The sequence below is a fragment of the Homo sapiens genome, chromosome 8 (genome assembly GCF_000001405.40).
Source record: "Homo sapiens chromosome 8, GRCh38.p14 Primary Assembly".
Lineage (NCBI taxonomy): Eukaryota > Metazoa > Chordata > Mammalia > Primates > Hominidae > Homo > Homo sapiens.
Window position 1 is genome coordinate 24,426,009 of NC_000008.11, and position 25,884 is coordinate 24,451,892.

Sequence of the window (25,884 nt, forward strand, 5' to 3'; positions counted from 1 at the left end):
TTAGAGCTAGTTTTAGAAAAAGGTATATTTAGGACACATATTGATTCCTAGTACTGATTAAGTTCGTGTTTCTTCAGAAGTACATATTGCCAGTTACCACTCTATTTTCCTATTACCTAAATGAGACCTTCTAACTGCTCTGAATCATAAGTCTTGGCAAGAAATAGATACTTGGTATTTTTTTTTAAAGTTATTTACTTTTAATAGAGTTAGTGTGATATCCTGAAAACCAATTGGATTTTTAGGACATAGACTCAGGAATCCTTGTTCTGCCACTTACTATCTGTGTGAATTTAAAAAGGAGAATTAGTTTACTTATCTATAAAATTACCACCCCATCCTCCATTTTAAAGATGAGCCCATAGGATAGGCAAGCCCTGGATAAAGCATAGTTATGTTTTGCCATCTTTGGAAGGTTTAATAGAGATTGCTTAGCACTGTGTGTGAGACACAGTAAGCATTCAGCAAATGGAAGGTAATATTAGTAACTGTCAATAATAGAAATGCTTTTTCTCTTTGTTCAATCTCAGATGTAATGTCACAGCTCTGCTGATTTTCTACTGCACCATTATCTCCCTGACCTAAACCGGTAGGCCAGGACACATGAGCACCTTTCTTTAAGTCCGCTTTTTGGGGCCTACCTTCTTCTGTGTCACATGTACTGACACAGTCCTTTACACATGTTCAACAAAGATTTCAACAAAGAGGGGTGCCCCAATGTCTAGGTAAAGAATTCCCAGAAGCTTTATTATGAGGTTGGATATTAAAGAGACAAACTTGGCTTTTTCTAAAACAAAATATAGCATTAAGTTACACAGTAGGTCAAACAAATTATCTTTGTTTCTTGCTTTTTCTTTTCTTGCTCTTCTATTTACGTGTGTATATGTGTTCGCACATGCACGTATCTGCATGTACATGTGCAGTGCTCTGTTACTTTTACTATTTGAGAAGCCTTCTATACATCTTCGTTCTTCTAATTTCCATTTCAGTTCTTCTTAAGAGCTCTTGTCAGCAAAATGTAATGCAGTAAACCTCTGGGGACAACAGCTACTTCAAGCCAGAAGTATATCCTTAAGAAAACGATTCCTCCTTCTCTCCACCTGCCTTCTTGTAATATAATAGTGAGTTATAACTGCAGTTGTATAATTAGTAGAAAATCTATTTTAGAAGGAATATGATTTATTTATGCTCCATGTTTATTTCCTTGGAGTTTAATCTACTTAGCATTACTTTTTTTGGTGGGCCAAAACCTGGCCCAGAATCTGGTCACCCTAAATAAATACTATTGAATATTTTTATTTTGAGTGGTTCAAAAATCTCCCCAAATTTAAAATGCTTACAAAAAAATGGAAAATAACACTAACATAAAAAAATATCGCTTAAGCCAGAGGTTGATATACATTTTCTGTAAAGGCCAGATAGTATGTACATATTTTAGATCTCACAGGCCATACGGTTTCTCTTGCAACAACGTTGCTATTGCATCATGAAAACAGCCACAGACAAGTAGACCTGGCTATGTTCCAATAAAACTTTATTTATAAAACTTGTTGTGTTCCATATATTGCAGTATACTTTCCCCTTAAGAAATACAATGGCTGTCATTTTATTTCTTAATTTTGGAGAAAATCATGCAGCAGTCTTCCAAATTACTGAGAAAATCTTCCAAAATGCCTTGAAAATCATCACATTTAATATCCTATATTAAATACAGTTTGAGTACCCTTTCTCCAGCAAAAGAAAACTCCAGGAATAAAATCTCTGAGCCTGAAGGATAAAAATAAAATATATCAGTGTGAGAAAAAAACTAAATTAAGATCAAATCTGGCCCAATAAAAACCATTTGCTTCTTTCCCCATTCCAATCCATTATTCCAGATATCCTTATAATTCAAAAAAAAAAAAAAAAAACAGGTTGAACAATTTTATGTGTGTATTTAAAATCTTTAGCAGCTATTGCCATCAGGATAAATTATCTTTTTACCCTAGCAAACTGACCTCTTCATGATCCATCTCCACCATCCCTGAGTAGACTCATCTCATGCACTGCCTTTCCTCTTCCCCAAACCCATTAACCGATTCCATTGCTAACCACATCTCCATTGAGCACCCAGTTTTAGGAATGTGTCAGAGTTTATATGTGCATTGGCTTCATCTATATTGTTTTCAAGCATTTTCGTTTCAATTCATAACAATACTGTACTAAAGAGTACTTGTGGGCAAATTTCATCTTCCCATTAACATCTAACATTTTTTTAATTTTTTTTTTTTTTTTTTTTTTGAGACGGAGTCTCGCTCTGTCGCCAGGCTGGAGTGCAGTGGCGCGATTTTGGCTCACTGCAACCTCCACCTTTCGGGTTCAAGTAATTCTTCTGCCTCAGCCTCCCGAGTAGCTGGGACTACAGGCATGCACCATCACGCCCAGCTAATTTTTGTATTTTTAGTAGAGACAGGGTTTCACCATGCTGGCCAGGATGGTCTCACTCTCTTGACCTTGTGATTTGCCTGCCTTGGACTCCCAAAATGCTGAGATTACAGGCGTGAGCCACCACATTTTTTTTTATTTTAATCTTCTTAGAAGAGTATTCAATTGCTACAAGCATGTATTACTTAGGCGAAGCAACAGAGAAAGTCCAGCAAGGAATATGGTGGAAGCCAAGGTTGGAGGGCCTTAAACCATAATAACAAACAAAATAGATCAAAAGAAACAAAAGAGAACAAAGAAAACAAAAGCCTACCTCCTGACTTCATAGGGAGAGAGTGAGAATAGCTTTTGCGTGAATTCTCCTTAACAATTAGGGATAAAGGAGCATGGTTTTTTAAGGAAGAAACTTTGATGAAAGAAAATTCAAAAATTCTTAGATTTCTATCTGAGGACAACCATTGGCATGAGCAGGCAGCAGGACCACCAACAAGGCACAGAACAAGGCAGAGGCTCCAAATATGCCCTTGACCTTTGCATCATTTGCGGTTAGAATTTGAAAATGGAAGAGACTGGTTTCCTTAATTTCAAAACTTGTGCAGGTGGTGGTTACCTTGAGAAGCAAAAACGTTTTTCTAAAGACTATCATTGATAAAGGGTTTCTCTGTGATGCACAGAAGTGAGAGTTAGAATAGTGGAAACCCAGTAAATTAATTGTCTAAGAGACTTGGGCTAGGACAAAGCTCCCCCATTTGCTGGTTTTCCTAGAGCAGGTGAATTTTTCTCTTGAACCTCAGTTTTCTCATTAGTAACATGGCTAAAACAATAACTAACGTACATTGTTAAAATGACTGAGACTGACAGAGTGAATGCTCAAGATATCAGCTGTATTTCATCATTAGCTAGAGGGGTTAAATTCAAACCTGCCTCAAGTGCATGCTTTCCGAACAAAGGAGGGCATTCTGGGTGCCAGAATACACTCCTTTACTTTCTCTTGCCAGGGGACAGTCTTAGCAGGAGGGAGCTTGTGGCACAAATTTGAGGGCCACACTCAGCCTCTGACCCATGATTAATGGAGACCTGCCGGTACAGGCACACAGAGATCAAGCTGTGCCCAAAGGAACAACTGTGGGTGAAAGCGATCTTACAGAGTTTGAATGAGCAGACTGTAGAGATGCTATCACATTCATTTTCTCTTTTCAAGACAACAAAACAAAACAGAACAAAACAATTATGGATATTCAGGTTGTTACAACTATCACTATGGCCTTGGCTCTGGTATTCGATGGCTCATGAGTAGCTCTTGATTCCAGATAACTCTGGAGCTTTTCAGCAGCCTTGGGCTAACTGTAGAGACCCAGAGCAGTATATATTTTTAGGAAAATAGAGGTTGCAGTGGTAATGGTTTTTCAGTCACATCAAATCTATAATATTTATAATCTATTCTATAAACTGAGTGTGGCAATAAAGTTATGATAAATCAATTAACTTCTTAAAGTACTAGTCGCTGAGTCCCAACAAGGTGCACGGTCTGGTGTTTTCAGACCCTGCAGAAGACAGGTGAATGTTAGCCACGGTTTCTGTCTTCAAAGAGCCTACACAAATTGTAGAAAATAATATGAGAATGTGACCTATGATTCCTGGCATTGCAAATGTTCAGAAGCAGGAATAGGCAGACGACTTGCAAATTAAGATTTATCACTTTATTAAGGTCTAAACAAACAAACTGAATACCTCACACCTCACTACAACTAGTCCACAATAACGAGGAAAGAAAAGATCAAAGACTCACTCAAAGACCCTCACACACCAACAGGGAGACTGTAGAGCAGAGAGAGGCAGAGTATTAGGAGACAGGGAGGGGTAACAGAGGTTTCCTGGAGAATGTGATATTACATGTGTGGGTTTGGGGAAAGTGATGGGCATGGGGCAGGGAGCCCCTCATGCCGCAGGATGATTTATCATATTGTCAAATTGGAGGAGAAAGGTGACATGGAATCAAAAATATGATTAAGCTGCAAAAGGCTTTACAGGTGCTCTCAGAGTTCTGTTCAGTCAACCTTGAAAACTATCTTTCAGCAAAATCTGTAGGAAGATGAAAGCAAAGACAACTGCACGGGATAATTCACACAGGCATGCCAATAAAAGCAGCAGGAACACCAAGAACTGAGCAGGCCAACCAACCAAGTGATCGTTGGCCAAAAGTAACATCTCTACTCTTTCTCAGTTATTGATTTTAAACATTTTCCAAACAGTGACTGGGCATGATAACCTATGCCTCCTAATACTTGAGCATTCATGAGAGTAGGAAATTCTCTTCAGAAAGCCAGAAGAATCTGGAGTCTTGGTTATTTGTTAATAACACTCAGTTCTTGGAAAGAAAATGTAAGCTATTGTAAGAAATGCAAGAAAATGTAATATAAGGACAAAATACTTAAAATGGTCAATTCACACTAAAAGTATTTATTGAGAGGCTACTATATGTGAGGAACTATTCTAGACCTTAAGGGTGTAGCACTGAACAACAGATGAAATTCTATGTTGCATTCTAGTACAGAGGGATAGATGAAGAAATACACAAATGAAGTCTTCATTGAGCAGGTGCTAAGAACTGCTATGATAAGACACCAAGTGGGGAGGGGGATGCATGTTTAGATGCATGTGTGTTAGGGGAGTGAAATCTAAAATAGAGTGGCAAGTGCTGATATTTTCTGAAAAGTGGGAAGGTCTTACTGCAAAGGTGACATTTAAAGAAAGGACTAAAAGTGGTGAGGGATAGAGCCAGGAGGAAGGAGCCCTGGGATGACAACATGCTGGCATTTTACAGCAAGAACACAGCATGTTACATACAGCAAGAAGGGCAGAGAAGGTGAGCAGGGGATGGGTAAGGGACAAGGCCCATGAACAACAAGGCCCCAGAGCAAGTGGGGACTTGGAGATCATTGCAAGGAATTTAGCTTCTACTCACCTACTCACAGTGGAGTGGGAGCTATTGGAGGATTTTCAACAAAGAATGACATAGTATTGTGTCCATTTTAAAAGGAATTATGGGAGAGAAGCAAGGACAAAAGCGATGACACTGCCAATAAAGAGGGTGTTGAAGAAATCCCAGTGAGAGATGATTATGGATTAGCTGAGTGGTGGCAGTGCAGATGAGAAATGGTTAGATTCAGAGTGTATTCTGGAGGATGAGACAGCAGGATTTCCTGACAGATTACGTATGAGGTGTGAGAGGAAGCAAGGTGTCAGTGGTGCCTTCAGCATCTTTGGCTTGAGTGGCTTTATTGACAGCATTGCCATTTACCTGAGGTGAGAAAGACATATGGAGAAAGAACTTGGGGGATGAAGATCACGACATTGGTTTTTGTATATATTAAAGTTGAAATGCCTACTAGAGACCAAAATGAAGATGATAAATAGATAAATAAAGCCAAGGAAATATTTCTGGGTTCTATTAATTTGACAACCATACAGCTATAGTTTGAAAGACATGCAATTTACTGAGATTCTCCAAAAGAATAAGTGTAGACAGAAAGGAGAATAAGCAAAAGGAGTGAGCTTTGGGGCTCTTCCCATGTTTAAGTCTCTGGAGCATGGGGAGAAAGTGAGCAGCTAACGAGAAAGAAAACCTGAGCTGAAAGTCACATAAAGAAAATGTGTCCAAACAGCGGATGGTCAATAACAAATCAAACATGAATTTGAGGTCAAATGAAGTCAGGACTGCTGAGAACAGACCACTGAATGTAAAATCTGGGGATTCTTGGCGACCTTGATGAGTAGTTTCAGCAGAGCAATGGGGGCAAAAACCTGTGGGGTAGCCTAAAAAGCGAATGATGAGAAGAACTAGTGACAATGATTACAGATAACTCTTGGAGGGGATTTTATTATAAAGAGATCAGAAAACTGTAGGTAGCTGGATGGAGATGTGAGATCAAGAGAGTTACTGTAAGTTTTTAAAGATGAAGGAAATTGCAACTTGTTTATATGCTCGTGGAAATGCTCCAGGGCAGAGATGGAAAAGGATGCAAGAGCGGGGTGAGTTGTGGCTGTCAATTGAGAAAAATGATGAGACAAGTCTCGATCATTTCAGGAGGTTTATTTGCCAAAGTTAAGGGCACACACCCATGACACAGCCTCAGGAGGTCCTGCAGACATGTGCCCAAGGTGGTTGGGGCACAGCTTGGTTTTACACATTTTAGGGAGACGTGAGACATCAACAAATATATGTAAGAAGTACATTGGTTCCATCCAGAAAGGCGGGGACAACTCGAAGCAGGGAGGGGACTTCCAGATCACAGGTAGGTAAGAGGAAAATGTTTGCATTCTTTGCGTTTCTGATAAGCCTTTCCAAAGGAGGCAATCAGAATATGCATCTGTCTCAATGAGCAGAGGGATGACTTTGAATAGAATGGAAGGCAGGTTTGTCCTGAGCTGTTCCCAGTTTGACTTTTCCCTTAGCTTCGTATTTTGGGGCCCCAAGATTTTCCTTTCATATCGCCATGATGTCCTTTTATAGGGAAGAAGAGTGAGAGTCTAGTGCAGAATTGGATGTATCAGCCTTTGATAGAAGCATGGCCCATTCATTCTCAGTAACTGTAAGACAGAGGATCTGAGCACAGACAGGTGGGTAGATGTGGTAGTGGGGGTTGGTAGAAATGATTTTCTGATTGTCTCTTTTTTTCAGTAAATTAGAAGCAAAGTCACTAGCTATTAGAGATGAAGGAAGAGCCATTGGAGGATTGAGGAGTGAGGCAAAGCTGTGACTCAGTTTTGGAAGAAGATGAAACTTATGAATAGAAGCATGAATGCCATCACCTTGGGCCTAGTTTATTCAACAGGGAAAAAAAATCTAATTATACTGACTTTTATACCCCGTCACCACTTGGCTTTAAGCCTGTGTTATTTAAACCATTTTGACCTTACTGAACTTAGTGAAAATTCTTAAAGCTGTTATGAAACAGTCAGATTGAAAGTAAGAAAAACATCAACCCTTTCACAAAATTGAGAGTTATGCGTGTGTTATGCACTATTCATTAATTATCTTGTTTAATGTACACAGTGATCCTGTATAGAATGCTAGGATCAGTGTGTACATTAAACAAGATCATTAATGGAAATACCAAGGAGTTTGTTCAATGTCACTAGCTAAATAATATGATTACCATAATTAAGAGGTGAAATTGTTATACACTCTGTTTACCCTGGGCCTGCCACTCCCTAGGAATAACGTTGACCCTTTGGGCAGCAGACTGAGTTAAATTTTTTGACTCTTGTTGCATTTATTATTTGACATTTACTATATATAAATTGATAAATTTGTGGTTGGAAATGGAAAATAAGATAGTGATAAAATGACCCCAATTTTTTATTATTATGATAAGTTAAAATCTATACTTACAATGAAGAAGGTCTAAGAGAAGAAAAAGATCAGTAAAGAGATGGAAACATTTGAACAATATAGTGATAGAAACATAGCATTTTGTTGTTAAAACAATCTAGGGGATCAAACATAACTATTCCAATTTATAAATAAGGTGCAGGGGCCCCCAGAAATAAGTGACTTGCTGAAGTTCACTGAATTAGAGAAGAATACAGGGCTTCTGATTTAGAATTTGGTATTCTTTTCAGAATACTTAAGCATGATTACCGAGCTGAAAAGAGCTTCTGAATCTATGAAGAAAATTACAAATTCTCCTGGAATAATGTGTCTTTGGAGTACTTTATGAGGATATTTACTGTAAAGTCAGATAGAAAATGCTGATTTTTATTCCAGTAATTCTATATGAACCTTTTTTTGCCATTACAATTATAATTTAAATAAGATACTTTTATTCATTCTCTTCAGTCTCTCCACTCACTTGAATGTATTGCAGCTTTTCTTCATGTTTCTTTTTACAAAGGTGGCACAAGGGTAAGCATTTTGGGTCCACAAAGTGGGCAACTTTTCATTTCCAGCTCAGAATATATTCTTTATCAACTGCATTCTTCCCAGGCCTCCATTATTGTTCACTCTTTTAAGTCCTTAAGAAGGTTGATGAGATTGCTCTCCAAGTTGCTAGCTGGGAGTGGGAGTGGGAATGAGGGAACTAGAGAGAGGAGACTTAGGAGGGCAAGCCTGAAGGAATATCTGGGTTGTGAGAGCAATCAAAAGGAGAAAAAGGCCAGCTGTGTGCAAAGCTGTGAGGCCTCCAAGACAAGTACTCCTGGTTGACTGTTTTGTAAAGAGCTGATGCCAGTGGCAATAAGAAATGAATGCAAGAATCTACGACCTCAATACTCAAGGAAACCTAGATGGGACTCTATCGGAGCACCTGCTATGAGAGATTGCTTTGCTAATTTGCAGCAGAGAAATAAAAAGAGGACAGCGCATTCTCATACTTGTTTAATCTTCTCTAAAATCTGCTTTTGTTTGGCATTTGGACTCCACAGAGTTCCTTTGATATTGAAATGCTTCAGGGTTCATTGTTTTTGTAAAAAAGCTTTGTATACTTCAATAATATCATTAATTTAAATATGGAAAGCTGTGACCTGAGATGAGAATCCATTATGGGCTAGTAATAAAATCTTCATTTTTTCCCCTATCCCGTACTAATGATCTGGTAGAGTTTAGAATTGAGGGATCATATTCCTCAAATTGAAAAAATATATCATAGAGTGATCGTGAGAAGGAATAAAGCTTCTCCTCTCCCACATAAAAAAAGAGAGGCCTCAGTGTATAATAAAAATAACAAAGAGCTAGGCAGAAATTTTCTTTTCATCTCTGCTTTCCACTTATTATGTTGTTTGAATAAATTACAAAAACTTTTCTGTGAATTTCCCTAACGTTCTTGGTTGTTTCACCTGGGGTAACCATACATAATGCCATATGTAATATTTCAGATTCACTAGAAAGTTGGCTTGACCGTAAGTTGCTGAAAGACATCAGACAAATGCCTTAAAGTCTTATCTTTTAATATGACACTATAAATAACTCAGATTCCATGATTAGTATTTTAAAAATTGGTTTATTTCATTTTCCACAATCTTGACTGTAATAGAGGCAAGTTCAACATATTTCCCATCACCCAACATAAAATGTTCTTTTCAATTGTCACTGTGAATAAAGCTGACAATTTCCACTTGATGCGTGAATGTTTGGTGAAGGGTCAGATACACTCAGTAGGCCCATTGGACTTCAACTATCTCTTCTATTGACCCGAAACAGTAGTAGAAATTCTACCAGTAAAGATGATAATTTGGGTTAAAGCTGTTTCAAGGACAGGTTCAAAATTTCTGGAAAGAAAATATGTAAGGATCTAATCTGAAAATATTTTGCAAATTAATTTAGTAATTCATTTAACAAATTTATATTGAATGCAATGTCTATATGCAAGACCTTGTTAGGTTTGTGGTACTAGAGCAAGCAAAGCAACTGCACTTTTTACTTTATGGAGCTTTGGTTTTCTGGAGGAGACAAATATTCATATATTTAGAGTAATAAGTGTAGGACACACCAACATAAATTTTCAGAAGTAAAAGAATCTTGTTTCACAAAGAAATGTGGCCTAGACTTAGGCGTTAGGGAAGACTTTTTTGACATAGTGACCCTTGAACTGAGAACTGTAAATGGAGAAATTAATTTGACCACAAGGAGGAGAGGACAGGACTACAGGTTAAGAGGAAAGTATGTCTAGAGGTCCTTTAATGGGAGAAAGCATTGCATATTGGAGTAAAGGGGGAACGCCAGAAAACTTGGAGCTCAGAGAGCAGAAGAGAGAAAAAATAGTAGCAGATACAATTAGATCAATAAAAGTAATTATACCAAAAATCGACATTTATATAGCTCTTAGAAAATCAACACTTATCTATCTATTGACATATGGGAGGCATTGCTTTTCAGTGATTTACATAAATCACTTCACTGAATCCTCACAACAATTGCTGCAAGTTAGATAACGTTGCTATTCTCATTTTGGGAAATGAAAAAACTGAAGCACAGAGAGATCAGATATCGTCCAAGGTTTACAGGTAGGAAGTGTAAGTGTAAGTGCTGGGAATTGAACCCAGATGGTGTGGTACTTAGTGCGTACTTTTATTTACTGTACTCTACAACCTCCTCATCATTAGAAGCTAAAATAATCATAGTTTACGCTCTTTTTTTTGAAGCAGAGGTTTAATCGGCAAGAGAAAGAAAAAGGAATACAGCTCTCTCTCTCTAGTGAGAGAGAGGGGACTTCCAAGAGGAAAAGGCCCATAGTTTACTTTTATTGAGTGTTTGCTATGTACCAGATATCTTTCGAAGTTTGCAAATGTATTACATTACACATTCAATAAAAATCTATTGCCAATCTACTGTTCTAGGCAATAAAGATACGGTGGTAAACAAAGCAGACACAATTTTTATCCTCACAGAGCTACATTTTAAGGAGAGGAGTCAGCCTATGAAAAATAAGTAAACAAACAAGTAAATGTATAGCATTTTAGATGGTGACTAATACAAGGCACAAAAGGGCTTAGAGGTGCCAGGGTGGGAGTGGGCAGGTCTATTTTGCATAGGGTGCTTACAGAAGATTCACAGAATGATGTATTTTAATAGACACCTGAAAGGAGAGAAAAACATCGACGTGTGACTGAGAGGGTTACATTCCAGGAAGAAGGAACACCGAGCAAAGACCCTTGAAGCAGAATGTGCTTGTCATGCTCAATAGATGCCAAGGACACTAGGCAATATGCTCAGTGTAGGGAGGGGGGAGAGTAGTAAGATATGAAGCCAGACAACATCAGGCTAGATCATGTAGATCCTGGAGGCTCTCAGAACTTTGCCTAATACTCTGAAAATGGAAGTTATTGAAAAATTTGGACAGAAGGAATCACATAAAGTGATGCATGTTAATAAGAGCATTCTAGGTGATGGGTGGATAATACATTGTGAGGGACCAAGAGAAAAACAGTAAGACTAATTAAGAGTTTAGCTTCAATAAACTAAGCTAGAGATGATAATGTCTAAATTTTCTAAGAATCAGCAAAATAGCAGTAAATGTGGTGAGATACGGTCAGAGCCTTGATGCCTTTTCAGGATAGTGACAACTGGATTTGCTAAAGAATGGGATGCAAAGTGTGAAGAAAAGAGACGAATCAAGGATGACTCCTGGGCAACTGAAAGAATGGAGTTGCAATATCTTAAGATAGGAAAGACTACGGAAACACCAGGTTTGGAGGGGGAGAGCAAGAATCTGGCTTTGTACTTGTGCTTGAGAAATCCATTAGTCTTTCAAGTGAAGATGTTGAAAAGAGAGTTGCTTCTATGAGTCTGAAATTCAGAAAAGATCAGGTTAGATAAATAAATTTGGCAGCCATCATATTATAGATAATATTGAAGATCAAAAGATTGAATGGGAACCACCTCATGAGTATACAGAGAAGAGGAAAGTCTCAAGAATGAAGCCATGGGAATCTATAGCGTTTACACACTGGGGAGAGAAAGAGGACCAACAAAGGAGACTAAGAAGATGCAGTGAATAAGCATGGAGGAAATCCATGATGCACCAGGGACTCAATTCCTTTCAAAAAATGAAAATAATCCACTGTGTCCAATGCTGCTAAAGGATCAAGTGAGTGTGGACTGAAAACTGACCACTGAATTAAGCAAGGTACAGATCATTTGAACGTCGCCTTGTTGAGCAAAGGGTAAAAAGTCTAACAGGACTAATCTCAAGAACAAATAAGGAGAAAGGAACTGGAAACAAACTGTAGACTTTTTATTTTTTTAGAAATTTTACTGTTAGAATCCAAGAATGGGTGGTAGCTGTTTGAAAGGAGAATGATGTAAAAGAAGAAATATTTTTCAAAGGATAGAAAAAATGATTATATATATATATATATATATATATATATATAGAGAGAGAGAGAGAGAGAGAGAGAGAGAGATGATAGTAGAGATGGGGAAGAATTGCTGGAGTGATGACATTGAGGGGACAGGAAGGAATAAAATCCTGCATATTAATTGGGGAATAGACACTAGAAGCATGAACAGTGCATGCATAAAAACAGGAAAGAATGAGTCTATATGGGCACACATTGTAAGGTAGATGTGATAATGAGAGAAAGTGAGAGTTCCTATGATGGTTTATTTTTTTGCCAGTGAAATAGAAAAGCAAGATGGTCAGATGAGAGTGATGAAGAGGAGATTTCGAGATTTAGGGAAAGAAGAAAGGGTATATAATAATTAAGAGAAGTGGGGAGTGAATTAACTAGGGAATAAAAGATGGCTTGTGAGTACGGATTCATTTAATCTTCACATCATCCCTATCAGATTTATATTATTATGCCCATTTTATAGATGAGAAAACAGAAGTACAGAAATGTATCATACCTTAACCAAAGCCACAGAGTTAATAAGTGTCAGGCAATTTAAGTCAAGTGAGTCTTTTGTCTAACACCAGTGAAAAACTATTGAAGCATTTTTTTTTAACAGGCACATGACATGGCCAGGTTTACCTATTAAAAATATTACACTTGTGGTCATGCACAGTGACTCACACCTGTAATCCCAGCATTTTGGGAGGCTGAGGCAGGTGGATCACTTGAGGTTAGGAGTTTGAGACCAGCCTGGCCAACATGGTGAAACCCTATCTTTACTAAAAATACAAAAATTAGCTCAGCATGGTGGCACACACTTGTAGTCTCAGCTACTCAGAAAGCTGAGACAGGAGAATTGCTTAAACCCAGGAGGCAGAGGTTGCAGTGAGCCAAGATTGCACCACTGCACTCCACCCTAGGTGACAGAGCGACACTGCATCTCAGAAATAAAAAATAAATAAATAATCACACTTGTTGCAATGTAACCAAAGAATGTCTTGGACTATAATGGAGGCAAAAAAAAAAAACTTAGTGGTGGACTGATTATAAGGGATGTCATTGATGATACTGACTTTCAGAATTGCAATGCTAAAGGGATGAGGCACTGCTGGCCAAGACAGAGGACAAACTGGGGGGAAATGTATTTTAAGTCTTGTACATATTGATTTTACAAGGACTTTGATCCTTCCCAATGAAGACATTAAGTAGAAACTTTGCTGTAAAGATCTGTTGCCCAAATGGCTAGAAATATAAAATGTGAGGCATAGCATAGCAATAATTAAACCATAACTGAAGATGAGATGGCTTTGGAACAAGCATAATCGGAGGAAAAGAGGGTGTTTAATAAATACCTCAAGGAACTCAAAAATTTAAATGCTACATAGAAAAGGATATACCTACAAGTTGCCACTGAACCAGGAAGAAGTTAAGAAGGCTATTGTGGCAAGGGAGCTAAATAGTATATTTCAAGGGGAAGGATGTGGTCAACAGTGCTAAAAATTGTTAAAAGGGCAAATGAGATGAGGAAACAAAATATCTCTTGGATATAGAAATGGTAAAATCACTGGAGATATTGGCCATTTCAGTAGAATAATAAAGGCAGATGCTAGAACTGGGATGTGGTAGGATAAGTTTGAGGTAAGAAAATTGCAAGAAGTCCAGGTAATACTGTGTTAGAAATTTAGCTGTAAAGGAAATGGGAGAAAAAGTGATAGTAAGAGTATATGAGATATAGAATAGAGAGAATTTTTCAAAAAGGAGAGACTTTTGACTTGACTTAAAATGGTACCCCCGTTTTAAGCCAAGGGACTCCGATTTCTCTGCCTCCTTTCCAAGTTTGCTTATGTTTTCCCAATTTGTAAATATCAGTGTCAATTTCCCCACCTGCAAAGTGGGGATTATATTTTATAATGCTGCTATACATGGCTGCTAACTGGGAGCAAGTGAACTGTATGAGGACAATTCTGTTTTTCAACCACAATGGATGAATATTAATGTCAGATGGATTTTTCCTCTTATGTTTCCTTGTAGAAAAAGTCGTCCTTGGAGCAGAGGGTCTAAATATCAAAAGGAAGCTTCCAATTGACATAGATTCGTTCAGTTTGTGGAAATATTAGAGACATATAGATGCGGGTGAGAAATAGAATCCCAAATGAAGATAAAAGGATTCTATTGGCCATGGGATAACTCTACTAACATAACAAGAGAACACAGACATACAGATGGAATTGTCGAGGCCCTTTGCACATCTGTCCATTGGTATTCTTTTTTGTATTGCTTTGAAAGGGCTCTATATTATATGGACACTTACTCCCACCTTTTATTTATTTATTACATACATTTCTGTAGTTTGGATATTTTAATTTTAATATGTGATTTATGCCATATAAATTTTCAATATTTCTCATTTAACAAATGTTCCTTTTAGTTTTTATATGGCATACTCTGCATAGAAAGAATTTAACCATCTTCAACCAAAGCATATATAAATATTTTTCAACATTTTTTTCCTAAGACATTCTTGATTTTTTTCCACTTTTGAAGTTTTCAGATATCTGGAATCAAATTTATATTAGACATGACGTAGGAATCTATGTCCAGCCAACCTTCACCACCACCACCTCGGTAGTTGTCTTTAATTAGAACATGATGTTCAACCTCCAGGTTTTAGCCTCAAGCACCTAGCAAGTTGTGTAACTCCCTCAAGGAACACTTCCTTGTTGTGGATCAAAACTGCCCACCTATCTGTGAGGTGCTTCATCCCTGCAGTGGAAGTGAGGAGGAAGAAAGGTGAACTCCTTTTCTCAAGCACTTCTGCTCTCCTCTACCAGAATCACTCAGAATGCTTCCCGGGTGTATATTCTTGATGATTTTACTCATTCCTCAGGTTAAAGGTATGTCTTGCTCTTTTTATCAGGACTTTCTTATTATGCTGTGAGGTTGTGTCTCTTTAGTCACAAACTTTAAACTGTAAGTGATAAAAACATTAAACGTTGATGATTTTTCTGAGAGCTTCGACTAGATTACAGCTAATCATGAGACTCCATGCATCTGTGTAATGCCATATCACTCTTGAACATTCTGACCCACAGTGAGGAGGAGAAAGGAGTGGACAAGTACTGCATATCTGCAGCATGGCAGGCACTGTGCTGGCCATTAGCTGCTTTGTATGTTAAAGTGTTTAAAATTTGAAATTAATATCTCCACTTTACAGATAAGGAAAATGAGACTATTTACAGATCAGAGAAATTAAATATGCTACTGCTGGCCACACAATAAATTGGTAAAGGCTTGATTCAAATCAGAGCATATTCCAGAAACCCCATGCCCTCTCCTTTTTATTGCTCTTTAAGTATCACACCTTAATTAAGCAGGGCTCATCTCACAGATGACTATCAAGGTGATAGGACATGAATAGAAGATTATGGTTGGCACTGATGCAGGGCTACCCAAAATTCTTTAACAGGTAAAGGTCTTATACTTAACTACGAAAGGTAAGACTTTAAATGCAAACATCCCTGGAAGACCAAATTCAGTAATTTACATTCAAACAGGACAACAGTGCAGGCTTTGACAGGAGACAAAATCCAGAGGTTGGCATGAGGATAACAAAACGACAACTGCAGGCCAGACATGGTGGCTCATGCCTGTAATCCCAGCACTTTGGGAGGCTGAGGCAGGTGGATCACCTGAGGTCAGGAGTTTGAGACTAGCCTGGCCAACATGGTGAAACCCCGTCTCTACTAAAAATACAAAAATTAGCCAGGCATGGTGGTGTGCACTTGTAATCCCAGCTACTTGGGAGGCTGAGGTGGAAGAATCGCTTGAACCGGGGAGGCGGAGGTTGCAGTGAGCCGAGATCACGCCACTACACTCCAGCCTGGCTGACAGAGCGAGACTCTGTCTCAAAAAAATAAATAAATGAAACAAAAAATAAAATTACAGCTGCAGAACATGGCGAAAATATGGAGGAAATGGAGGGACACTGATTTCTTTGGCTCCTTTCCAAGTTTCCTTATATTCTCCTGATTTGTAAATATCAGTGTCAATTTCCTTGCCAGTAAAGTGGGAATAACATTTCATAGTGTTGCTGTCCATGGCTGCTAACTGGGGGCAAATGAACTGTATTAGAACAATTCTGTTTTTCAGCCGCTGTAGACGAATGTTAATGTCAGACGGATTTTTTCCTCTTATGTTTCCTCGTAGAAAAGTTCATCCTTGGAGTAGAGGGTCAACAACTGGTTCGTCCTAAAAAGCTTCCTCTGATACAGAAGCGAGATACTGGACACACCCATGATGATGACATACTGGTACAAGTTTTGATTTAGTAAATAAGATTTGTTGCTTTCACAGGCATGTAGACAGTTGTCTCTAGCTCCAACCAGAAGCAAATAGGGAGAGAGGAGTTTCAATTTTTCTAAGGACTCCCATTCGGCATACACCATGTGCTTGGGAATAAGCAACCCCTCAATGGGTTAGAAAACAGAAAAGAGTAAAGCCTGGGTTTAGGGAATACCATTCTAAATTTTCCAGTTTATGGAGTTCCACCAACAGCTTTCAGGCTGACTTATAACAACCTCATTTGTTCTGAGCCGGTGCCTGGTGAATGTCATCTTGAGCATGTTACTTTCCCAGAGGTCTGGTATGCAAGGTTTTTGTTTATAGAGTCTGCAGCAAAGATGTGCAACTTTCAGAGGAACTCAAAGGCCTGCTTGGTCTGTTGCTCAGAAGGGTATTTATTCAGATATTAACAATTAAATAAAAACTTGAAAGATTACTTTCAAAAGTAACGAATGCTTATTATAGAAAATAGATAATATATGTAAGAGGGAACAGGCTTGAAAATTAAGATGTTTTCAATTTCCACTGTTATAAAAGACATTAGATGAATGTCCTTAGGTATTTATCATTAGGCACTTGATTTTTAAGCCTTAGGTTTTAATTGGGCTCATAGAGAATACTGACAGGCACGTTGCCCAAACGTACTATGGAAATCCAAACCCTTCCCAATGAATTTCTTCTGTCCACCATTAGAGCAGCCAGTTTTTCAAGTTCTCACTTGTTAGGTTTCTCAGTCATAAATTAGATACACTTCACTTTTCTAAACAGTCCCACTGAGATCTGTTTCCTATGGCTTGAGATGATTAAAATAAAAAGCAACTCTCCGTCTCCTCCCGTTTGGAAGTAATATGTAACTATTTTGTTCAACGATTCTCTTTAATATGCGACTCTATTCTCACTTTCTCAGACTTTGTCTTGGCTGAAGATTGGTACTCAGCTAAGGGGGCTTTCACCAGCTTTCTACCACCCACTGTGCATACACTGGTGGCGTCTTCTCACGACTACTGTCCTAAGACTTAATCAAGACTGATGTTAAAAATCTCATTATGGCTGGGTGCAGTGGCTCATGCCTGTAACCCCAGCACTTTGGGAGGCCGAGGAGGGCAGATCACGTGAGGCCAGGAGTTCAAGACCAGCCTGGCCAACATGGTGAAACCCCATCTCTACTAAAAATACAAAAATTAGCCAGGCATGGTGGTGTGCACCTGTAATCCCAGCTACTCCGGAGGCTGAGGTGAATCGCTTGAACCCAGGAGGCAGAGGTTGCAGTGAGCCAAGATCATGCCACTGTGCTCCAGCCTGGGCAACAGAGCAAGACTCTCTCAAAAAATAAAAATAAAATAAAATAAAATAAAATAAAATAAAATAAAAATATCATTATGAATATACCAGATAAGCTTGGATAAGGGCAAGGAATATAAACAATGAACCTAAAGCTTCTTGTATACCAGAATATGCTCAAACAGACAAAACAAAATTCAAACCACATTGAAGGGGTCTTGTCAAAAGAATTCAGAAGCCAACAGAAAGAGCTCCCGATGGCCAAAGCTGGGATAATGTGAAGAACAAAATAAATAACAGCTTTGTATTATGACATGAAGTGTAAATAAATATCATGAGCCCATACTGATATAAATAAATGACTGAATAAATAATATATAATAAATAAATAAATAAATTAAATAAATAAATTGAAAAAATGGACACTTCTTCTGGGAGAGGAATCAAATAATTTATGTAGATGCTGTCCTCTCCAGGGGGTGGAACCTAAATCCCCACCCATTAAGTGTGGGTTGTAGATTGTGACTTCCTTCCAGGAAGTACCATACTGAAGGGGGGAAAGAGTCATTTTACAGAGAGAAAGATGAAAACACCACCTCAGCCACGTGATCAGGTTTAACACTTGCTAAGTCCTGTGGCTAGTAGGGTGTAATAAAATGGCATTTTCTATTATGGCTCTCACCTCAAAATCTGTAACATCAGTCTAAGCATGAGAAAAATATCAGAACAAAAACAAATTGTAAGACGCCCTACAAAATGCTTGACAGATACTCCCCATAAAGGTCCAGATCGTAAAAAAAAAAACACAAAAAAACGAAAAAACCTGAGAAACTGTGAGACTTCAGGAGGCTAAGGAGACCTGACAACTAAACGTAGTGTGGAATCTGGGATCAGATCCTGAAAGAGTTAAAGCACATCAGGGAAAAACTAAGAAGACCTGAATAACTATAATTAATAGTAGTTTATGAATCTGGGCTTATTCGTTGTGACAAATAGACTATAGTAATGTCAGATGCTAATAAACAGGGAAACCTGAGTGCAGAGTATATGGAAACTCTGTACTATCTTTCCAACTTTTCTGTAAATCTAAAATGATTCCAAAATAAAAATTAAAAACCAAATTGTTATTAAAAACAGTATTAATGACACAATTTAAAATATCCTATTAACAATATTGACAATATTAAAAATCTTCTAATATTTGTTAATATAAAATCCATATCTGAATTTCCAAAAAAGTTCCATTGCCACCATTACACCCATACATGCATGTACACATACATGCAGACACACACACATACACACCTCTACACATACAACTCATCATGTTGCAAAATGTGACCAAACCCTTTCTATCTGATTAAGTACCCACCCTAGTTTCTTGGCCTCCCACGTGGGGATTCTGTGTCTTTATGATAAAGCTGTAATTTTATTGTTCAACTTGCAGTCAAAACAACCTTAACTAATGCACACTTAACATTGAATAAACACAAAACTCTCCTTCCCAACCTCATAGCTGACCCTCTTCAGATCCTCCTTGCTATAGTAGCACAGCTCTACAAGTTAAACAAATCAGAAATCTGGGCTTAGTCTTGACTACTCTCTCTTACTCCATCTGACTATCACTGAGGCTTGTAGATTCTAGCATGTAAATGTCTTTTAAAGTTATCTACTGCTTACTCCTCTGCTCAAATCATCTGCATTCATCAACAGCCTTAAATGGTTTTCCTGGCTATAGTACTGAGTTTTGCTAATCCATTATCTACAAGAAGTAAAGTACTAAAACACCATGCTTGCTATGGCATGTTTCTGCCTAGATATTTTGCTTCTCTTTGTTCATAGGATAAGGCCCAAATCTTTGACTTACTAGGTTGAACATGATTTACTCCTTCCCACTTTGTCATTTCATTTCTATTCAACTTACACCTGATTTTCCAGTAATATTGAACCTCTGTCTGTTCTTCAAATGTGTCATGTTCCTTCCTGGCTCAGAGCCTTGGCATGTGCTGTTCCCTGCCCCTGACTTCTCCTTGTAATATCCCTGGCACAGTCCTTGCATTTCTCCTATTATGATGCTCATTACACTCCACTATGTGTGCTTGGTTATCCAGTGTTTTTCTCTGCCAAGCAGGGACTTCCATGAGGGCAGAGACCTCCACCGTCTACACCATTGTATTTTCCATATTATCTCTGTGCCTGAAATAGTAGTCATTGAATAAATGAATGAACAGTCATCTCAAAGTAATGTGCAACATGTATGACCAACAACTGTGAATCTTAAATTATAGAGAATTTTTAAGAAGCATGAAGAAATAAAATACCACAAAAGAAACTGGTGAAAGGGCATGAATCAGAATCCATATGAAAACTACAAATAACTAAATAAATAAAGGAAAAATATTGATGTGAATGATCATCCAGGAAAACAATTTATCACAATAAGTCATCATTTCATTGTTTAAAATATTTGTATTAATCATAATATCTATTATTGGTAAGAAGGCAAGGAAACAGAAACTGCTATAAATTGATGGTGAGGTTCTAAACATGACCACTTCCTTTCTTCATGATAGTTTGGCAATAGTTATAAAAGCTTTACATTTTTTTTCATGTCATTGAAAATGCAGCTCTGTCCAACGACAGGGAATACCCCAAACCAAATTTCTCATAGTAAATATAGATTAAATAAATGAAGTTTCACTCACATTGTGCTTAGCTGCCTAAAGACACATACTATAAAAAATTTATTAAAATAGGAAATAGTCATGATTTATCATTGAGTGCAAAGTAGACGAAAAAACAGTATGTATAAAAATCGCTTTAAAAATGCGTGAACAGGATATCTGTGTATAGAGCTGCTACATGGACATATGGTAAATGGTGTATCCTTGGATGAGGAGAGAATCTGCATTTTCCATTTAATTGTATAACTAGAAACTATATATAATATGCTATATTATATTATATTAAACTATATTATAACATGCTATGTTATAATATAAATAGTTGTAATATAACTAATAATATAAACTATAATATAAAAGAATAACTATATTTATATTTTATTCTAATATAACTAGAAGAAATCTAGTTCTAAAATATAACTAGAATGAGGTTTGTAAAATCTTCCTTCTAATATTAGCTCTCTTTCAATTCATCTTTATCAGTATTTTGCATTTTGGCTGAAAGGACTGCTGGGTGGATTGGAGATAGGGAACATTCACCCAAAGCACTACTTGCTCCAGAACACACTAAATGAGCCCATGTTGAAGTCACGTGATGCCTCTTCTTTTTTAGAAAACGTATGAAGAAGAATTGTTGTATGAAATAAAACTAAATAGAAAAACCTTAGTCCTTCATCTTCTAAGATCCAGGTAAGTTCTATTGTGATTCCAGTACCTTATAGATTTTAGTAATTATGGTAAGCCAATTTTCGTAAAAACTGCCAGTGAAGAGGATTCCTCAATTTTTATTTGCACGTAATCTGAATTTTTCCTCTTCAAATAAAAGCTCTTCATGTGTAAGCCAATCACATCTCAAAAGCTTAAAGACAATCACAGATGCCACTGTTCTCCCGTTCCTAAATAACTCCCTACTTTGAATACTTGCAGTTTTTTGAGCTCCATATAGTCACTCTAAGAACAGGGTTGATACATTACTGTGTTGGGAATCAGTGGAACAAAAGAGATGTGAAAAACATGGTTTTTAAAATGACTTCTAAGTTGTGTAAACTAGATATCAAATCAAGTTCCATTGCAGAGTAAACTAAGAAATGTAGCGCATTTGCTTCGTCAAGACATCTTGTGTAACCAAATAGTGTAATTGCAATGTCTATAACTTTCTTCATTGGCTTTCTTCAAAAGAATGTCTATTGTTGCCGCTGTTTAAGTTTCATTGTTTTTCCACTGGGCCATTTCTACACAAAATAGCTCTGTCTCAGAGCCCCAGATATTAAAAGGATGAGGAGCTGTCAAATGCTAAGCAGAAAGAAAGAGTGACACTACTGGGGAATTGAGACTTTGGTCTATTAGCTAAAAGTAAATAACAAAACACACACACACACACACACACACACACACACACACACACACACACAATCCCAAACCCTCCCTCTATTCTGAATCCGTCACCAGACAAATGTGCCGAATAATAAACATAATCCCATAACCATATTGATAATACATTTAGACTCTGCATATTTTCACCTTCTCAGCATGAAAGAAGCAAAGATTTATTGAGAGATTTCTATCTCTGTTACTTTTTAATTCCTGAAAAATGTATATGAGACAGATATTGTTTAATTTACACTTTGCTGAGGAAGAATTATAGGTACAATGAAAAGATAACTTGTCCAGGGTCACAATACTCATAAGCACATGATGATGCAGATGGTCTGACTGAAGAGTTCCAAGTTACCTTCACAATTACCCCAGGCTGCCTAGGCCTCTGAGTCAATTTCATTGTATTAGCCACTGCGTAATTCTGCTAATCAGCCTGTAGTGGCATGTTAGTGAATTGTACACACAGAGAGCAGTTTAATCTAATTTCAACATCTGTAATAGGCAACACTGCCTCATTCCCTCAGTTCTACAAAGTAAATGAATTTAGTGCATACCACAGAGCCTCTAAATCTGTGAATATTATGTGATTGGATGTTTTTGTAATACAGTAACAAACAGAAACTGATCTTATTAATTTAGATTTCTATTTGTCTTTCTCTCCATGACCACACTTTTCAACATTTCCCCTCTAAGTTTCATTCAGCTTGTTTATTATTATTATTATTATTATTATTATACTTTAAGTTTTAGGGTACATGTGCACAATGTGCAGGTTAGTTTACATGGGCCATGGTGGTGTGCTGCACCCATTAACTCGTCATTTAGCATTAGGTATATCTCCTAATGCTATCCCTCCCCCAACCCCACAACAGTCCCCAGTGTGTGATGTTCCCCTTCCTGTGTCCATGTGTTCTCATTGTTCAATTCCCACCTGTGAGTGAGAATATGCGGTGTTTGCATTTTTGTTCTTGCGATAGTTTACTGAGAATGATGATTTCCAATTTCATCCATGTCCCTACAAAGAACATGAACTCATCCTTTTTTATGGCTGCATAGTATTCCATGGTGTATATGTGCCACATTTTCTTAATCCAGTCTATTATTGTTGGACATGTGGGTTGGTTCCAAGTCTTTGCTATTGTGAATAGAGCCGCAATAAACATACTTGTGCCTGTGTCTTTATAGCAGCATGATTTATAGTCCTTTGGGTATATACCCAGTAATGGGATGGCTCGGTCAAATGGTATTTCTAGTTCCAGATCCCTGAGGAATTGCCACACTGACTTCCACAATGGTTGAACTAGTTTACAGTCCCACCAACAATGTAAAAGTGTTCCTGTTTCTCCACATCCTCTCCAGCACCTGTTGTTTCCTGACTTTTTAATGATTGCCATTCTAACTGGTGTGAGATGATAGCTCATTGTGGTTTTGATTTGCATTTCTCTGATGGCCAGTGACGGTGAGCATTTTTTCATGTGTTTTTTGGCTGCATAAATATCTTCTTTTGAGAAGTGTCTGTTCATGGCCTTAGCCCACTTTTTGATGGGGTTGTTTTTTTCTTGTAAATTTGTTTGAGTTCATTGTAGATTCTGGATATTAGCCCTTTGTCAGATATGCAGGTTGCGAAAATTTTCTCCCATTTTGTAGGTTGCCTGTTCACTCTGATAGTAGTTTCTTTTGCTGTGCAGAAGCTCTTTAGTTTAATTAGATCCCATTTGTCAATTTTGGCTTTTGTTGCCATTGCTTTTGGTGTTTTAGACATGAAGTCCTTGCCCATGCCTATGTCCTGAATGGTAATGCCTAGGTTTTCTTCTAGGGTTTTTATGGCTTTAGGTCTAAAGTTTAAGTCTTTAATCCATCCTGAATTAATTTTTGTATAAGGTGTAAAGAAGAGATCCAGTTTCAGCTTTCTACATATGGCTAGCCAGTTTTCCCAGCACCATTTATTAAATAGGGAATCCTTTCCCCATTGCTTGTTTTTCTCAGGTTTGTCAAAGACCAGATAGTTGTAGATATGTGGCCTTATTTCTGAGGGCTCTGTTTTGTTCCATTGATCTATATCTCTGTTTTGGTATGAGTACCATGCTGTTTTGGTTACTGTAGCCTTGTAGTGTAGTTTGAAGTCAGGTAGCATGATGCCTCCAGCTTTGTTCTTTTGGCTTAGGATTGACTTGGCGATGCGGGCTCTTTTTTGGTTCCATATCAACTTTAAAGTAGTTTTTTCCAATTCTGTGAAGAAAGTCATTGGTAGCTTGATGGGGATGGCATTGAATCTGTAAGTTACCTTGGGCAGTATGGCCATTTTCACGATATTGATTCTTCCTACCCATGAGCATGGAATGTTCTTCCATTTCTTTGTATCCTCTTTTATTTCACTGAGCAATAGTTTGTAGTTCTCCTTGAAGAGGTCCTTCACGTCCCTTGTAAGTTGGATTCCTAGGTATTTTATTCTCTTTGAAGCATTTGTGAATGGGAGTTCACTCATGATTTGGCTCTCTGTTTGTCTGTTATTGGTGTATAAGAATGCTTGTGATTTTTGTACATTGATTTTGTATCCTGAGACTTTGCTGAAGTTGCTTATCAGCTTAAGGAGATTTTGGGCTGAGACAATGGGGTTTTCTAGATATACAATCGTGTAGTCTGCAAACAGGGACAATTTGACTTCCTCTTTCCTAATTGAATACCCTTTATTTCCTTCTCCTGCCTAATTGCCCTGGCCAGAACTTCCAACACTATGTTGAATAGGAGTGGTGAGAGAGGGCATCCCTGTCTTGTGCCAGTTTTCAAAGGGAATGCTTCCAGTTTTTGCCCATTCAGTATGATATTGGCTGTGGGTTTGTCATGGATAGCTCTTATTATTTTGAGATACATCCCATCAATACCTAATGTATTGAGAGTTTTTAGCATGAAGGGTTGTTGAATTTTGTCAGAGGCCTTTTCTGCATCTATTGAGATAATCATGTGGTTTTCATCTTTGGTTCTGTTTATATGCTAGATTACATTTATTGATTTGCGTATATTGAACCAGCCTTGCATCCCAGGGATGAAGCCCACTTGATCATGGTGGATAAGCTTTTTGATGTGCTGCTGGATTCGGTTTGCCAGCATTTTATTGAGGATTTTTGCATCAATGTTCATCAAGGATATTGGTCTAAAATTCTCTTTTTTGGTTGTGTCTCTGCCAGGCTTTGGTATCAGAATGATGCTGGCCTCATAAAATGAGTTAGGGAGGATTCCCTCTTTTTCTATTGATTGGAATAGTTTCAGAAGGAATGGTACCAGTTCCTCCTTGTACCTCTGGTAGAATTCGGCTGTGAATCCATCTGGTCCTCGACTCTTTTTGGTTGGTAAGCTATTGATTATTGCCACAATTTCAGAGCCTGTTATTGGTCTATTCAGAGATTTGACTTCTTCCTGGTTTAGTCTTGGGAGGGTTATGTGTCAAGGAATTTACCCATTTCTTCTAGATTTTCTAGTTTATTTGCGTAGAGGTGTTTGTAGTATTCTCTGATGGTAGTTTGTATTTCTTTGGGATCGGTGGTGATAACCCCTTTATCATTTTTTATTGCGTCTATTTGATTCTTCTCTCGTTTCTTCTTTATTAGTCTTGCTAGTGGTCTAACAATTTTGTTGATCCTTTCAAAAAACCAGCTCCTGGATTCATTAATTTTTTGAAGGGTTTTTTGTGTCTCTATTTCCTTCAGTTCTGCTCTGATTTTAGTTATTTCTTGCCTTCTGCTAGCTTTTGACTGTGTTTGCTCTTGCTTTTCTAGTTCTTTTAATTGTGATGTTAGGGTGTCAATTTTGGATCTTTCCTGCTTTCTCTTGTGGGCATTTAGTGCTATAAATTTCCCTCTACACACTGCTTTGAATGCGTCCCAGAGATTCTGGTATGTTGTGTCTTTGTTCTCGTTGGTTTCAAAGAACATCTTTATTTCTGCCT

At 37.7% G+C, this 25,884-nt stretch overlaps 1 protein-coding gene and 1 long non-coding RNA gene across 2 annotated transcripts in view; one reads left to right on the plus strand and one right to left on the minus strand.

Annotated features, from left to right (window-relative positions):
• Positions 1-25,884, minus strand: part of ADAM7-AS1 (ADAM7, ADAMDEC1 and ADAM28 antisense RNA 1) — a 252,805-nt gene that overhangs the window by 130,195 nt on the left and 96,726 nt on the right. The window lies entirely within an intron of this gene.
• Positions 15,018-25,884, plus strand: part of ADAM7 (ADAM metallopeptidase domain 7) — a 68,540-nt gene continuing 57,673 nt past the window's right edge. Inside the window, exons 1-3 of the mRNA NM_003817.4 lie at positions 15,018-15,152; positions 16,465-16,568; positions 21,178-21,254. Coding sequence (NP_003808.2) covers positions 15,101-15,152; positions 16,465-16,568; positions 21,178-21,254 — 233 coding nt within the window. The 5' untranslated portion in view covers positions 15,018-15,100. The remainder of the gene's footprint in view (positions 15,153-16,464; positions 16,569-21,177; positions 21,255-25,884) is intronic.